Source organism: Homo sapiens, chromosome 5, assembly GCF_000001405.40.
Source record: "Homo sapiens chromosome 5, GRCh38.p14 Primary Assembly".
NCBI classification, from domain to species: domain Eukaryota; kingdom Metazoa; phylum Chordata; class Mammalia; order Primates; family Hominidae; genus Homo; species Homo sapiens.
Genome location: NC_000005.10, coordinates 52,836,674 through 52,853,902, shown reverse-complemented (window position 1 = coordinate 52,853,902; position 17,229 = coordinate 52,836,674). Strand labels below are relative to the sequence as shown.

Here is a 17,229-nt window from a genome sequence, read left to right as displayed (position 1 = left end):
TCTGGAAGGCTTGTGCTGTGCTGAGCATGTTTGAATTTCTTTTCCTCAAAGCAAAATTATGAAGGCAATTATATTCTTTCTGAATTCTTCTGAACCACATTGCAATTACTTGGATGCTCCAGCTCATGCTAAACATAATGAACAACAGCTGATCTTAATCAGATGTATGATGTGTTCTGCTACTGAGAAAGCATGTGGCTTCTGAGCAAAAGATATAAATTACACTTCAGAGCAAACTTCTGAACAGTAAAGAGGACATAAGGCTACCTTTTCTGTCAACTTATATTTCTTTCGAAAGAATTAAAGCTATGTTTTTCAAATACACAGACTGTACTTGTCATGGGCTAACAAGTGCTCCTTCTATAGGCGTACTATAGTCACGACGTAAGATGGGTCAGGATGATTTTTTTAAATATGAGTTTATGAAATTCGAAAGCATGAGCAGTAAATATGACTTATGAAGGTGCCTACCTCTAGAGATAATTAAATAACAAAATCCATGTTCCTCCAAATATGTCAATTATTCTGTAGCACATTTCTCGAAGTAAGTCTGCAATCTATCTGTTTTTATAGACACTTACAGAACATCCAAACATGTTTCTACAGGTTATTTTGCACTACCAGATCCCAGATTTCTTTAGAACAATATGCTGCTACCATGCTATCCTTAAAAGTTTGGAAATTTAGGTATTTGTAATTTGCTTACTTTTAAATTCAATTGCCCACATCTTTTTGGTTGCTCTGATTTTTCACAACTTTTCCATAAAATCATTGTAAATAATAAATGTCAACGTGAGATTTAGGTTTCTGATATCATCTACATTCAAATGCTTACAAACTTACACACATATTAATATGTAAAGTCTGGTACCTACCACAAAGATAGTTTTTAACAACATTTACTTTTAAATATAGTTCTAATGAAGAAAAAGGCACAAGACTGAGTGTAGAGATGAAATCTATTACAGCTCTGGTCCTAAGTAGTTGCATTTCCCTAGGAGAGTCACATTTAACTTTATTTTTTATGCAGCTTTTTTTTAATTGATGATAACAGAGTGTTAAACTAGATTTAGTTGTTCAGCCAACAAATAATGATTGAGTGCATATTATGTATAAGGCCTCATGCTAGATGTGGGGTAGTGCCCAGGGTTGCAAGTGGGCTGCAAAATCAGTCTTTGTTTTCTAGGCATTTCCACTAACACATTAACTTCTCCCTCTTACCTGCATTCCAGTCTGAGGTTTCCAACTACCTAGAAATCACCTTGAACTGGAGCTATTTAAAAATAGACTTACCCACTTCCTGATAAGTGAATTTCCCTTTCTCTGTCAATGACAACCCATTTCCCAATGAGCCAGTACAGAAATTTTGGAATCTATCTGACCTCTCCTACACCTTCATTGACCATTTCCAAACTTCCACCAAGATTTACTGATTCATCTTGATTTGTCTTGAATACACCTTTCTTTTTTCTTCCAGTTGCCCCTAATACAGCCTGAAGGCTCATCCCTTAAGTACCAGATTATAGTTCTTGAGTCTATATATTTCCTAGTTTTCAGGAACTCCATTCTCCAATCCAATTTATATGTAAATTCCCAAATTAAGTTTCATAAAATGACAACTTATGATGGCTTCTCAACGTCCTCATCTTAGGTCCAAGCTCCTGTGTTTGTCTTTCAAGATCTGCCATCATCCTTTTCTCTTTTTTCATCCCAATATGAGACCTGTTTACTTACCAACACACTCACCTCACTTATTCTCAAGTCTGGGCCCTTGCTCTTGTGGCTTCCCAAGCTTGGAGTGACATTTTTCTTCTCATATTGAAAGTTAAGTCATCTTTCAAGACTTAGGTCAAGAACCAAGAATCATCTCCTCCTGTTTTGAATTCCCATTGAATTTATAGTCTATTCTGCACTGGTTGTTGGCACTATTCTCTATTCCTAAACATTTCATGTATGTCCTTGACTAGGTTAAAGCTTTTATATTTGTTTTATGTATAAATATTTCCCATGGAATTTAGCATAATGCCAGACACATAAAATGTATTACATAAATACATGTTGATTGACTGACCCACATTTATGCTATGGCTAAATAAAAAAAACCTAACCCACCAACAAATATTTTCAGAGACAATTCAACTCAGCTTCATGGGTAAACCAAGATATAAGGCATAGTCCCCGATCTCTTATTAACATTACCTCACAAATGTATGTAGAATTGTGATGGTTCAGTCCAGTGTAGATTCATTCAGACAGACCATTAGCAACATCGTTCTTGCAACCTTATTCTTACTATCCAATCTATGCACTCTTTTGTTCCTTAACCAGTGTTGGCTGTCTTTCTTTTTCCTCATCCATACCTTAACTTTCTACAAAGATAGAATAACCTTAGGAAGGACATTCCTCATGACATCAAGGCTTCATTCAGGCCTGATTTTTCAATTTTCCATTGCTTTGACTTCTGGTGCCTTGAAAGGAGGGACTGTAGAATTTAGAGGGTGGAAATCTCACAATAGGATAGGTTCTTATCATGAGAAACAGTGACTAAAGAGATCAAATGGGGGCACTAAGGCTTCTAAAAAGAAATATGAACCCCTTTTCACTCTACTAAGGTTCATTCATATAATTAAGGACTTCTGACATCAGATTTTTCTAAAATCACAGAGACAGGACTGGATAAGAAAGAAAACATACAGGTTTTTCTGATATCAGAAATTGAAAATGAGAATTTCATAAAATATTTTAGCAATATTTAACCATCCTTAAAAGAGATACTTCATTTTAAGTAGGTGGTTTAAGTCTTAAAGCTTGCTATTTGCTATACTCCTCTTTAAAATTTGTGTAACTATTAGTAATTAGTGAAAATTAACTTTTATATGTGTTTATGTAAAGTTAAGCTTTTTAAGAATAACATGTACTGCATTTCTGTTTATTATAGCTTACGCACAAAGTCTGACCAGTTGGTCTACTCACCATTATTCTCCCAGAGGTACCTGAATTGAAGGTATAATTCCTAAAAGAATAAAGCTGGTGTCTAGAGGGAGGGCTGTACTCATTTAACCTTAAAAATTGGGGAATGGGATGGGTGGAGAGTATAGGAGGGAGGGAAAGGGAACTTAAAAATTTAGCATGTAGCATTGGGTTTGTCATCTGAGATATTTGTAAGGAGAATAAAAGAGTGAAGTATCTCAACAAATTCTAGTTTATACCTAGCATAAAATAATGTACTTAAAAAATGTGAGAACTCATTACTTTTTATAGTCTTTAGGGCATTATTATCAAATTAACCAAGTCTAAAAGATAAAACAAAATGCAGAAAATCCACATATTTTTATTAATGAAATAATTATAGTGATTCATAGATCTTTATTATCCAAGTAGATATAAATCTCTTTTTGCTTATTATTACAGCTACTAAAAATGTAGGCTTGTTTAGTTTAAGTTATTAAACTAAAGTTTAGCTACTGCTCTTCTTTCCTAGAATGTCCAATTAAACAAAAATTGCATTTACTAAAAATTCTATTAAATATTAAGCAAAAGAACTCTAATATTCAGTTTATATAATTTTCAACAAGTTAAATATACTTTAAAAATCATATCTACGGCCAGGTGCTATGGCTCACGCCTGTAATCCCAGCACTTTCGGAGGCTGAGGTGGGTGGATCACGAGGTCAAAAATTCAAGACCAGCCTGACCAACATGGTGAAACCGTGTCTCTACTAGAAATACAAAAATTAGCCGGGCATGGTGGTACACGCCTGTAATCCCAGCTACTAGGAGGCTGAGGCAGGAGAATCACTTGAACCCAGGAGGCGGAGGTTGCAGTGAGCTGAGATCGCTCCACTGTACTCCAGCCTGGGTGACAGAGCAAGACTCCATCTCAGAAAAAAAAAAAAAAAATCCTATCTACAATGAACTTAACCAATATTAAAGGGTTTGAAGGTAGATACCAGAAACCCAATAAAGTTCATTATAAACATTAGACCAAGCTCAGTAGATCAGTAAAGACCAAACTCACGGAAGTGTGTTAAACCCTTTCAGAGCACCATCTCATTTGCCTCCGAATCCTTCCTACTGAATTTCAAACAAGTGCATTTAAGCTACTCTGAAATGAGAACAATTAAAGAATTCTTGCCAAAAAACATAATTATGGAACAATAGCTTTTTTGGATACAGACCTTCCTTGAGGTCAATCCAGGCATCAACAGAAATCACTAATCGCTTCCTCTAATATTGCCAAGGAATTTTTTTTTTTTTACTTTAAGTTAGCTTCCATTGCCAAATGACTAGACTGCATTTTCTACCATAAATAATTCATTCTGTTAAAGTTTCATTCATAAAAGAAACTGTAGTCAAATAATATTTCTCATTACCTTGTGAAATAAGTAAATAACAACAACAAAACCCACTGGCTTACCATTTTCCTTCTTCATTTTCATATTGTTGAACAGTATATCCAAACATGTCTTCCACCGGGCCGCTGAAAGTCATTGAATTTTTCACATCAACATTGAATGATACGCAGCAGCGTAGAACAACTTTAGGAGAAAAACAAAATCCAGTTACATAGAGTTAACTAAGAGTCCATCATGTTTTGAGTTATGGAAGGCATGGTTAAGGTTACCATCGAAAGCTGTTTCTATTAAAAAAAAAGAAGCTCAAAGAATGAAAACTCAAGGAAGGTCTCCACTCTTAACTGTATTACTAACTGTAAACCAAATAAACTAGTTCAACCATTGTGGAAGACAGTGTGGCGATTCCTCAAGGATCTAGAACTAGAAATACCATTTGACCCAGCCATCCCATTACTGGGTATATATGCAAAGGATTATAAATCATGCTGCTATAAAGACACATGCACACGTATGTCTATTGTGGCACTGTTCACAATAGCAAAGACTTGGAACCAACCCAAATGTCCATCAACGATAGACTGGATTAAGAAAATGTAGTACATATACACCATGGAATACTATGCAGCCATAAAAAAGGATGAGTTCATGTCCTTTGTAGGGACATGGATGAAGCTGGAAACCATCGTTCTCAGCAAACTATCTCAAGGACAAAAAACCAAACACCGCATGTTCTCACTCATAGGTGGGAATTGAACAATGAGAACACCTGGACACAGGAAGGGGAACATCACACACCGCAGCCTGTTGTGTGGTGGGGGGAGGGGGGAGGGAAAGCATTAGGAGATATACCTAATGTAAATGACTAGTTAATGGGTGCCGCACACCAACATGGCACATGTATACATATGTAACAAACTTGCACATTGTGCACATGTACCCTAGAACTTAAAGTGTAATAAAAAAATAATAATAATACAATAAAAAATAAAAAACCATAATGACTTTAAAGAACACAAATATTAACATTCAAAAAAATTCCATACTAATTTAATATCTGTACCATTCCTAGAGCTGAGGTTTTCAGAATGTGTGGAAAAGAGCAGGCAGAAACTCAGATTCATATATGACTAATACAGTTGCAGATAGTTTTCCAGCAGTGAGCCCTGCAGAAAACCATGGCCATCAATGAACTCTGAACAGCTCATTTTCCCATTTCAACTACAGAGAATGCACATATCACCATGTAAAGCTTTATAAAAATAGATGTTGTCCTTGCTGCTTCAAAAGGAAAAGGCAAGCTGATGGTCTCCACTCAGAGATGGCTTCCTATGCAGGCCTGAGATTTGCTCTGTTTCCCTTCCTTAATTGGATGGAAATTTATACTAATTCTCTGAAGCCTCCTTATAATGTTGGTGTTGATAAATTCACCAGTTGTTATCCAGATTAAATCACATGATATATCTAAAGGGTCTACCCAGTGCCTGGCACATACTACATATTTGATGAGGGTTAATTCTTTTTAATTTTCTCATAGTACAGGTTGTGGAAACTCTTAGTAAGTAAGACTGTCTCCTAAAGAAGTTCTAGAATCACCATCTCAAATGGATGGTGCCAAATTCCTGCTTTGGTACTGGTTTTTAAAGTATGCTTGTGAAGTTCCAAAATATTCTTCTCCTAGATGTAACTAAGAATTCTTTCCAGGGGGCCATGATGGCTCATGCCTGTAATCCCAGCACTTTGAGAGGTGGGTGGATCACCTGAGGTCAGGAGTTTGAGGCTAACCTGGTCAACAGGATGAAATCCCATCTCTACTAAAAATATACAAATATTAGCCAGGTGTGGTGGCATGCCCCTGTAGTCCCAGCTAATCGGGAGGCTGAGGCAGGGGCACCGCTTGAACCTGGGAGACAGAGGTTGCAGTGAGCCAAGATTGTGCCACTGCACTCCAGCCTGGGCAACAGAGAAAGACTGTCTCAAACAAACCAAACAAACAAACAAACAAAATTATTTCCAAAGAGCACTGTCTTATAAAATTACAGAGCCTCATCAGGTACATTCAGAGGTGGCTAAATTCAGTCTTCTTTGTTAAAACCACCATATAGCCACATAGATCCTGAAAAATTATCTTTCCTAGTCTTATAAATTGTGAGTGGATTAAATCACTCTAATATTTTAACCCTTGCTCACTATGAACTTTTTTCATAAATATACTTTAAATCCACACTACTCTAATTTATAATCTTTAAATTTTGGCGACAATAGTAACTGCTTTTTCCTTGAAGAATAAATTCATCAAAGAAACAAAAAAAAAGATACACCCATATATCTATTTGTAAAGTCTTTCTTGACCTCCCTACCTAGAAGTAATCTTTAAACTTCTAAAACCTCCTTTCTTATTTTTTAAGAAACCTCTCATGGAGATAATTATTAAATACTATATAGTTATCTGTGTCAGATTTTTCCCCCCAAATTGGAAAATTCCTAAAAACAATGACTCTCTTACTTACCTTTTTTTAATCCTTTATCAAAATCTAGCACAACTCCTTGTACACAGATGGGCAGTAACATATTTTCAGACTGACAGATAACATGTTGAAGGAAGAAGTATGCCAGCTCTAGTTAAAGATGAACTGGCAACTATTTCATCTTAGTTAAGGAAGATTTTATGGAGATAGAAATTTTCAATTAAGATTTTTAAAGGGAGAAAGAGATGAGATTTGGCAGTGAAAAGAAAATGTGTACCCAGGATTTGGGAGGGTCTCTGCAAGTATTAAGACACAGGCCAGGACAAATATGGTTGCAAGATCATGAAGAGATTTGTCTAGCTGGCATGAAGGAAGCAGAAAAAGAATGGGTGAATTGCACGGGTCCTTTTATGTACATTTCCTGTTCATTCTTCCAGCGTGATAGAGAACAGCTGGTTACCATCTTCTGCATAATAGTCTTTCACATATTTGAAGACAGTTTTAAATGCTGCTTACTCTCTAAACTAAATAGTCATGCACTGCATAATGATGTTTCGGTTAATGACAAACTGCATATACAATGGTGGTGTCATAAGATTATAATACAATAGCTTTAGTGTACCTTTTCTATGTTTAGATATGTTTAGACACACTAATGCTTTACTTTTTTTTTCTTTTTTAAGGCTGAGCCTCACTCTGTTGTGCAGGCTGGTGTGCAGTGGTACAATCTCTGTTCACTGCAACCTCTGTCTCCCGGCTTCAAGCTATTCTCATGCCTCAGCCTCTTGAGTAGCTGAGATTACAGGTGCCTGACACCACGTTTGGCTAATTTTTTTATATTTTTAGTGGAGACTGAGTTTCGCCATGTTGGCCAGGCTGGTCTCAAACTGCTGGCCTTAAATGATCTACCTGCCTTGGCCTCCAGAAGTGCTGGGATTACAGGTGTGAGTCACTGCGCCCGGCCGCCATTGTGCTTCCGTGACCTACAGTATACAGTATAGTAACCACTTGTAGAGGTCTGTAGCCTAGAAGACATAGGCGATATACAGCCTAGATGTGTAGCTCTACCATCTAGATTTGTGTAAATATACTCTATGATATTCGCACAATGATAAAATCACCTAAGGACACAGTTTGCAGAACACATCCCTAGTGCTAGGTGATGCATGACTGTAGTAGATGCTCCTATTCTTTGCTCTCACAGGTTTTGTGTATTTATTTTTTGAACAATTTCAAGAAAGTATTTTTTGATACAAGAAATGCATAAAATAATACTTCTGCAGCAGGGTTTCTCAACTTTGGAACTATTCACATTTGGGTCAGAAAATTCTTGTTATAAGGGGCTATCCTTTATACTATAGAGTGTTTAGCAGCATCCTTGTCCCCTACCCACATGAAGCCAATAGCACTTCATGAGTTGTCATAATCAAAAATCTCCAGACACAGCCAAATTCCCATGAGGCCAAAATTGTCCCCAGTTGAAAACCACTCTTGAACAGATGAAGACAAGAACATCACCACCAATTATTTTGTTGAAGAAGATGACCGAAAACCAACCACGGCTCATAAACCAGCAGCATCTGTATCACCTGGGAGCTTGTGAATAATGCAGAACCTCAGGCCCTATCCACATTCCCTGAATCACTACCTACGCTTCCACGAGATCCCCAGGGCAGCCCTGCCTATTAAGGTTTGGAAAGCACAGCTCTGTAACGTGGTATTTCTTTTTCATAATGTCAATACAGGTAATGGAAGTTATCTAAATAAAAAATACTCACTATGCTGTAGAGAAAAGGGGAAAAGGATCATCTTTAATCAGGGTCAATTTCACCCCCCTGAAGGATTTTTCTAGCATGTCATCATCTTTAATACATTTTCTCCAAAAGCCATTTGTGGTACCCCCTCCTCAACATAAGACCAAGCAGTTTTGGTTTCCTTTTTGGGGCTGTTTATTTATTCTACATGTTGTGTGGAATGTCTGGGGGTGTGTGCTGTACTTCTTTTTTCATTTCCTGTCCTTAGAATTCTACAGGCAATTTGCCCAAAATGATTGTAAATCAGACTCTTTTATGTTTTCTGAGGCACCGAAGAGCCTGAAGAACAGGAGATGACATAAAAAAATAGTTTACATCCAGTTCTTTTGATTTAAAGGAGTGAGTAAACAGTAAAAGCAGCTTTTCATAACTTTTAGTTCAATGTGAATTTTGTTATACTAAGTTGTCTTGGAATTTTATGTACCAGAAGTAAAGCAAAATTGTACTTATTCACAACCGAGCCTCCACTTCCACTCCCAGAAAAGCAAAACACAGAGGTGGCTTCAGAGACAATATAGAAAAAATACAAAAAATAATGGGAAATAAACATAGATAAGACAGATGTCAAAAGAAATTCTGATTTCACATGTACCAGCAATTGAAAACCAGTAATTTTTCCCCTTATAAATAATAACTATATTGTGTACTAACCATGTGTTACTCTCATTTAATTTGCCAGCAACTCTATAATTAAATACCATTACTATCATCATTCTGAAAATAAGGAGAAGAAAGCTTGGGAAGGCAGAGAAATGTGCCCACATTTCCACAGGCTTCCAAATCCAAAGTAGTAACCACTATTCATATTAATTCAATTTTTACATCTTAGTCCTAAAACTAGAAAGGGCTAGTACAAAGTGATATGAGGATGAGCTTAGAAGACAGCCACATATTAGTCTGCATAACTGCATCTCCTGAGAGGCAAATTTGGGGAGAAGACTTTTCTACAATAGCAATGGGCTGGAAAGGATTTGGGGAATGACTGGAAAGTCTGAGTAAGGAGAAAAGTCCTGGCCACAGAGCTCCAGATCTAACTTCTTGAAGGACTTCAGCTAGAACTTATAGGTCCAAGTAGAAAAGAAATGAAAAGACTTGCTCCCATTCAAATATGGTTATATATGCTATATATGCAAGAGTTAAAAAAAGAGAAAGATGAAATTGCTGGTGTTGAAGGATATCTCTTATAAAAAGAAATTGTGAGCAATTACTTTACCCCAGGATGGAATTTGATATGTAAGAAAACTAAGTGAGAAAGAGGGAGAAGCAACCTACAGCTCTGCAGTGCTTTCTGCTTACAAACATTTTAAAATATAATAATAATAATAACAGTAATGATATTGAGCTATTCAATAATTTGAGGAGGTGAGGCAGGACAGCAGACATTCCCCTCTTTTTGTGTATTAAGAAACTGAAGCTCAGAGAGGTTGAGTGATTTGCCAAAAGCCAGGTTGCATTAATGACAGAAGCAAGATTTCAACATTGATCTTATGAGGCCAAATCATAGGATTTCTGTAACTAGGGTGCTATTGAGTTGGTCTGATTAATAAAAATAAAAATAAAAATAACAACCCAGCTCACAACAATCCTCAAAAGTCTCATGATGGCTCTTAATCATCTTGTAGCTCTGGAGTATTTGAGAATAGGACTGGCAGAAAAAGGATAAATGGAGGTGACAGAGGCTGTTGACAGATTGAAGGAAGCCACCCTCTTGTACGCATCCTTGAGTTCCAAGGAGTATTACTGTAGCCTGTTTAGTTGTTGGCTTCTTAATAAAGAAATTCTGTCTTTGGACTAGGTGGGTCAGAAATCCCAATCTAGTAATATCCAGATAGGAATATTCAACAACAAATGCAATTCTGAATATTGCAAATTCCAAGCCAAGGCAAGAGGGTATCAAATAAATGGTGACAAGGGAATGTATTAAAATGCTATTGCTTTATTTCAGTAGCTTCTTACATATGTTTATGCAATTTAGAAATAGGAGAAATCATAGAATTAACATTATTTTTATTATTTTTAACATAAGGAATGAAATAATGACATAAGATTAAGACAAGATATAATCATAATTATGTTTTTACAGTGAATGGTTTTAGGGCAAATTCTTTGGTGGTATAGAAAGATAGTGATCCCTGGAGATACAGGAACTAATCTTTTCATCTATATTATTTATTCAATCATTCATATATTCCACTACTCCACAAATATAACCAAGTGTTTACTCTGAATTGAATATATGGTAGGGCCTGGAAATACAGTCATAAAAAGATGATGCTAAGCCAGGCACGGTGGCTCACACTTGAAATCCCAGCACTTTGGGAGGCCAAGTCAGGCGGATCACCTCAATTCAGGAGTTCAAGAGCAGCCTGGCCAATATGGTGAAACCCCATCTCTACTAAAAGTACATTAAAAAAAATTAGCTGGGCATAGAGGTGCACACCTGTAGTCCCAGCTACTCAGGAGGCTGAGGCAGGAGAATTGCTTGAACCTGGGAGGCAGAAGTTGCAGTAAGCCGAGATCGTGCCACTGCACTCCAGCCTGGGTGACAGAGTGAGACTTCATCTCAAAAAAAAAAAAAAAAGATGATGCTCCTGAAAAAAAAAAGCAAGTGATTTCACCTCTATGAACCTCAGTTTATCACATTTGAAATGAGCTTACAAATAACTTTCAGGTATTAATTGCTGCAAGAAATACAAATTATGCATTTAGCAAAAGAGAATAATCAAAAAATGAGCTAACTGATTTCGTAGGTAGAATCCAAAGAATCAGTATACCATTTGGCAGTTGATTTTTCTTTCAAAAGAGGACTTTTCCCTAATTTTGATGACTGTATCTTGAAACACAATACAGGTATGTTACATCAGTGGGGATGAGACAGCAGATTCATGGACTTATTTTCATAGCAAATCTCCTGTTTCTAAACTTGGCTGCAATGACATACATGAAGAAAATCTAAGATGAGGGTGTCAGGCCTTCTAAGTGGAAGAGCTAGCCAGGGAGGAGGAGTACAGATGACACCATTCCATTCAGTTAGAGTCCTTGGATTCTCATCTCAGTTGCTCAAAACATGATGCATATCTGTGATACCACCTAGGATCTGAGCCAATCACAAGTTGGGCCTTCTTTCACTCTAATGAAAATTTACTCCCCTCTAACCTATTTTAAGGGTTGCAAGTCTATTACAAGGACAGGGTGACCCTGCAGTGACTCTTTCTAGTATATTAATATTCTACTAAGGAATTCACCGACCTGAACCACCTGAGAATCAGACAGCATATCTAGAAAGTATGAGCTCTATAATGAAGAGCTGGAGAGGCCCCTCTCTTCCCCAAGCCTGAGCCCTGGTACATTCTTGGTAGCTCTTACCTCTTGCCAAAGCCTCCTGGTGGAAAGAGTTAATTCACCCCATTCACATGGTATAAACTCCTAAAGTCATATATTCTCACTGTAACTAAAAGGTGATATATTAAGTATTTTCTATAACTCCAAATTTACTTTTACCTACTAAATTCAGATGAAATATATTCCATTTTGAGGCAATACAGGAGGTTGGAAGAAAAACATTTTAGTAATAAGAGTTTGTGAAAGTTGGAAGCCCTTTTCCTTAATGTATAACAACTTTATAATATTAGTCTTATGGGTTGGAAATTTTAATCAGTTTTATTACTCTTAATAGGTTAAGTGAGTTTGATCTCAGTGTGGATGTATATGGTTGCTGTAAAAGATAAAATTTGACTCAAAGTATAACTGAATCCAAAAACTCTATAGTACTACATCATTCTAGTTGGTTTGAAATCTGAAATGAGTATTTTTATAGCACCATAACCTTGAGAAGGAGGAGCCACAGACCTCTAGTGGTAAAGATATGGGGAACAAAGAGAATTAAAATATGACAAATAATTATAGGGCCTTGGCCAATGAGTACAGAAGCAACACAACCATTTGGAAATGACATCATAATCTCAAATACAGAAAATTTATATTTGATGTAAAAAATAATATATCCAACTCAGTGTCTCCTTCAAACAATTGGAACTTCCCAATACAATTAATGTTAAGAAGAAAATCTGGCTCAAGAAATCTTACTAAAATTCTTTCATCAGAAATGATGTAATATGTCAGCAAGATACCTACCTCCATCAACAAGTTTAGAAAAGCAAATCCAAATAAACACCTCAGTATTTAAGCATTTTCCAAGTTTCATCCTGGGAAGCTGCTTTTTAACTTCATCTTGCCATAGCAAGCGAATTGTTTTGACTTTTAGTGCTAAAGTCCTGTGGGTCTCCAGTTATTACAAATGGTATTTGAACTTCAAAGTGAGTGTGTGTATATGTGTATATCTGTGTCTGGTGGAAAGGAGGCAAGGAAGTATAGTTCTTGATACAAAGTAGCTGTTTAATACAAGTTTGTTAAATGGGACAGGATGGAATAAATCAAAAGAAATGAAGACTTTCAGTATAAAGGTCATTCTGGCTGTAAGAAGTTGTCCCATTTTATAAGTGCTACCCAGAATAACTCCTAGAGTGTTTCCCAAACATCCTTTCTTAAAAAATCTTCCTTTAAAATTTTTCTACATAAGTTTGTTCTTTCATGGTGTTTATTTTCCTTTGTAGTATCTACAGACATCTGCTCTTTCCCCATATCCTCCCACCACAAATAAATGCCTGCTTTGCCAGCTCCTCTCAGACCTACTCTTGATCTCTAAAATTCTTAAACAGTTTCAGAAACCAACCCCCTTCACCACATCAGCATCATCTTTCGGATCTATGTTTCACCAAATAAAAAAGCTGCAGAACCTCAGGGGTCCCTGGATCCCACTGTGGGAAACACAACTCGTGTGTTTGTGTAAGCCACATGAGCACAGAACTCTGTTCTCCAGCTGCCCTGGCATCCTGAACGCTGAACTCATTAATTTCCGTGACTGCACAGCATGGAGCACTGCATACGGAAAGGCGTACTACGCTTCAAAACAAAGCAGGGTGGCATCCTATTTAAGTATTTACCCAGAAATATGATATTGTAAGCCTTTGCATGTATAAGAATCTGAATAAAAGTGGTACTTTCGTTAGTGGAATATTTTCCATGAATTTTATTCATTTACTTATAACTTTTTCTCAGTAAGATATTGCCAGTTATAAAGGTATTTTTGTTAGTATACACAGCAGGCGTTTTTGAGGGTCAGTAAAGCAAAGAGGTAGTATACACTGTAAAATAAATTATTTTTAATTTACCTACTAGCTTTAACTGGCAATTGCAAATTCCAGGCACTAAGAGATTCCATTGTTGATTCTCCTATACTATTTAACAGGCTAATTTTTCTGGATGACTTGGATGTGAGCTTTTGAAGGCATACACATGTTCCAAGCATGAGGGTGAAACAGGAGACACAGTTACTACTTCACTTACTTTCATTGCTTCACCTAGGGACAGTGAGTTATCTTACTTCTTTTTTGTTTATTTATATGTTTAATAATTCCAGTGGAAATTAGAGAACTGAAAATCATTTCTTTAACCTTGTATACTATTTCTGCTTTCCTGACCCATGAAACTACCTATTGTGCATACTAACAAAAATAACCATAGGATTGGCAATGTGTTGCCAGCTCACATATCTTACTGAGAAGAAATTATATGTTAATTAATAAAATTCATTTAAAAGAACCTGCTAATAAAGGTACAACTTTTTCTTCAGGTTCTTTCTTTTAAGGCATGAATGGACAGAGTACATAGGACAGTTGGGTAAGACTTGACCCTGAGATTGAACCAATGACATCCTAAAAGTGTGCAGAAGACAGTAACCAGTTACCTAATGTTCAAATAGTACAAGAAGAGCCAAAAGCTATTCTCCCTTTCCCTAATAGTGCAATTTGGAGTTTGGAGCTAAAATTGTTTCGTGAAAACACATTCAGATGTAAATAAAAATAAAATAGAAATGAATGAAAACAAAAAACATATTCAAATATACCTCAAAGTATTTATTTAGATTATTGAAATTTAGGAGCCAAAGTAAAAAGTTTTTTAGAAATATGATCATTCATATGCCTTACGGTATCACCTATAACATATAACATATAACAGGTATTCTTCACTTAGTGAAATTCCAACATATGAAAAAATCTATTAAATTATGTTGTGACTTTGTTGTTGTTGTTGTAGTTGTTGTTTTTGTTTTGAGGCAGGGTCTCACTCAGTCACCCAGCCTAGGATGCAGTGGTGCAATCATGGCTCACTGCAGCCTCGGCCTCGCCAGCTCAAGTGATTCTTCCACCTCAGCCTCCCAAGTAGCTAAGACCAGAGGCACATGCCACCATGCCTGGTTAATTTTTGTATTTTTTGTATAGAAAAGTGCTCGTCACGTTGCCCAGACTGGTTTTGAACTCCTGGGCTCGAGTGATCCGCCTGCCTCGGCCTCCTGAAGTGCTGGGATTACAGGCGTGAGTCACCACACCTGACTCAATGTTGTGATTATTTAGACTGGAAAATAATTACTGGCATTTTAAGTTATCTACCACATTATTTCAAAAATGAAGCATGCCTAGACTTTTACAAATGTTTTAACTTGTATACAAGGTTTTCAAGACATAATCAAAACATAAAATGAGGCCTACCTATGTTTTATTTTGCTGTGGGACTTAAAGAGGTATTAGATTTAGTTTGACCTCTCTTTTTTTATTTGCCATATTTCTCAGAAACAGGAGGCAAAATATACGGATTCATAACATTTCTTTTGTGATGGAATTCAACTGACTAAATACTTTCTGGTTTAACACACAAGTGGTCAATCATTAACATTAATAAATTAAGGTCTTCATGAAGCTAACTAACAAAATGAAATACTGTGCACACTCTGACAGTGTACCTCAACCAAAACCAAAAACCTATTAAAAAAAATTGTCCATCCTAGAGTCACCTAGTAGCTTTAACTAGCAATTCCATATTCAGAGATGCCATTGTTGATTTTCCTATGGTATGTAATAGACTATTTTTCTCAATGTCTCAGTACTGCTTCTAATCATACACTGCCACTTAAACTAAAATGATTCTGTATAATTTCTCTCCCTTCCTTGCTTCTTCCCAGCTACTTATTATAGCAATTTTCCATTATATCATTCACTACCAAATATTTCCTTCATTCAGAAGTTTTTCGGTTCCTCTGCTCAACTAAAAACTTGTCCATTTTATGAAGAGAAAATAAGCCAAACGAATGTAACTTGTTATTCACCTGAAAACGCTTAGAAAAGAAATCAGAAAGTATTTTAAAGGGCATTAAAGTTTGTTTATAAGAAAATAAGAAAAGTCTCAGTAGCTTGGAATGTTGAAATATTTCAGAAGGCAAGGGTCACTAGAATGCTTATTTTTGTTTCAGAGGAAAGAGATAACTTTTTGATGCTTTCTTTTCTGTTTTGAGATAACTCTAAACTTTGTTTTCTTAGTTATAATTGCTGTTGCTAAGACCAGGATGATCTTTCAGCACTTAGAACATTAGTTGGGCAGTAACATCCTTCGATCCAAACTCTATTTCTATCTAGTAGCATCATCTTTTACATTCTTTCCATTAGTCTACAAGAGTATCTTGAAACTGAAGTAACTGCAGATGTTATAGTCAATATCCCCAAGAACCGGCAGCCAATATTTCCCTTAAATGGAAGCATTCTGATACTTAGAATCACAACACTAGTGACTAAGTATTTGTTATATATAAGGATCTTAAAATTCAGGGTAGAGGTTACATTTGCATGGGAGAAGGGGAGGAAAAAATAGGGTCTAAAAGGGAATAAAAACATGGCTTTAACTTTATATGTTTTTAGAGGGAAATGCTAACTTTCCACTTCTGACATTTCCTTCCATGGGGTGAGTGCCTCACCGGTTGTAATACTTCTCGGCTATTTCTCAACCTGCCCTTCCTTCACACTAATTGATTGGTGAGTCTGGAAGGAGACACTGTGTGGCCAGCCCCATCCTCTCTTTCTCATTTTCTTTTAGAACTGAGCCTGCCTACGTTAAGAAAATGCTTTGCTTTGTTCGTCCAGTGTCAGGCTCTCGGCTGGCGCTGGAGTGTAGACAGCCTCCTCTACGGTTCAGTAGTGGGAATTTAATTCATCAGCCATGCTGATTCATCAGTCTGATTCTTTGTCATTTCCCAATTGGTTCTGATCTCAAGTGAGGAAGAGGTTTGGTCTTTACTGGACTTTCTCAAAAATCCTAATAAAGTTTTATTTCTTATGAAAAATAAACAATTACAGAAAAATGTTTAGATTTTGCAAAGCTGGGTAGAGGGCACATTGCTATTTGATATATTATTCCTCATAATTTTCTCGTTTGCTTGAAGCATTTTATGATAAAAATGCCTTTAAATTTTCCTGTATAATTATCATTATACATTTGAAGACGTAGTAACAGGATACTTCTCTAAGATTTTCTAATTTTATCAAAATTGTCCCCTATTTTCTTAACTATTTCAACAATGAAATCACAGTGCCATTCTTGCTTCTTAGAGAAGCAAAAAATGCACAAAATAGAAGAGCTTGATTGAATGACCTTTATTATCTTTATACATGCTCTAAAATCTTAATACTTTCAGCCACATTGAGATCA

General features: G+C 36.3%; 1 protein-coding gene across 1 annotated transcript in view; it reads right to left on the bottom strand.

Annotated features, from left to right (window-relative positions):
• The window catches only part of ITGA1 (integrin subunit alpha 1), a 171,294-nt gene that overhangs the window by 105,307 nt on the left and 48,758 nt on the right, over positions 1 to 17,229 (bottom strand). The window contains exon 2 of the mRNA NM_181501.2: positions 4,418 to 4,538. Within this exon, the coding sequence (NP_852478.1) occupies positions 4,418 to 4,538 (121 nt within the window). The remainder of the gene's footprint in view (positions 1 to 4,417; positions 4,539 to 17,229) is intronic.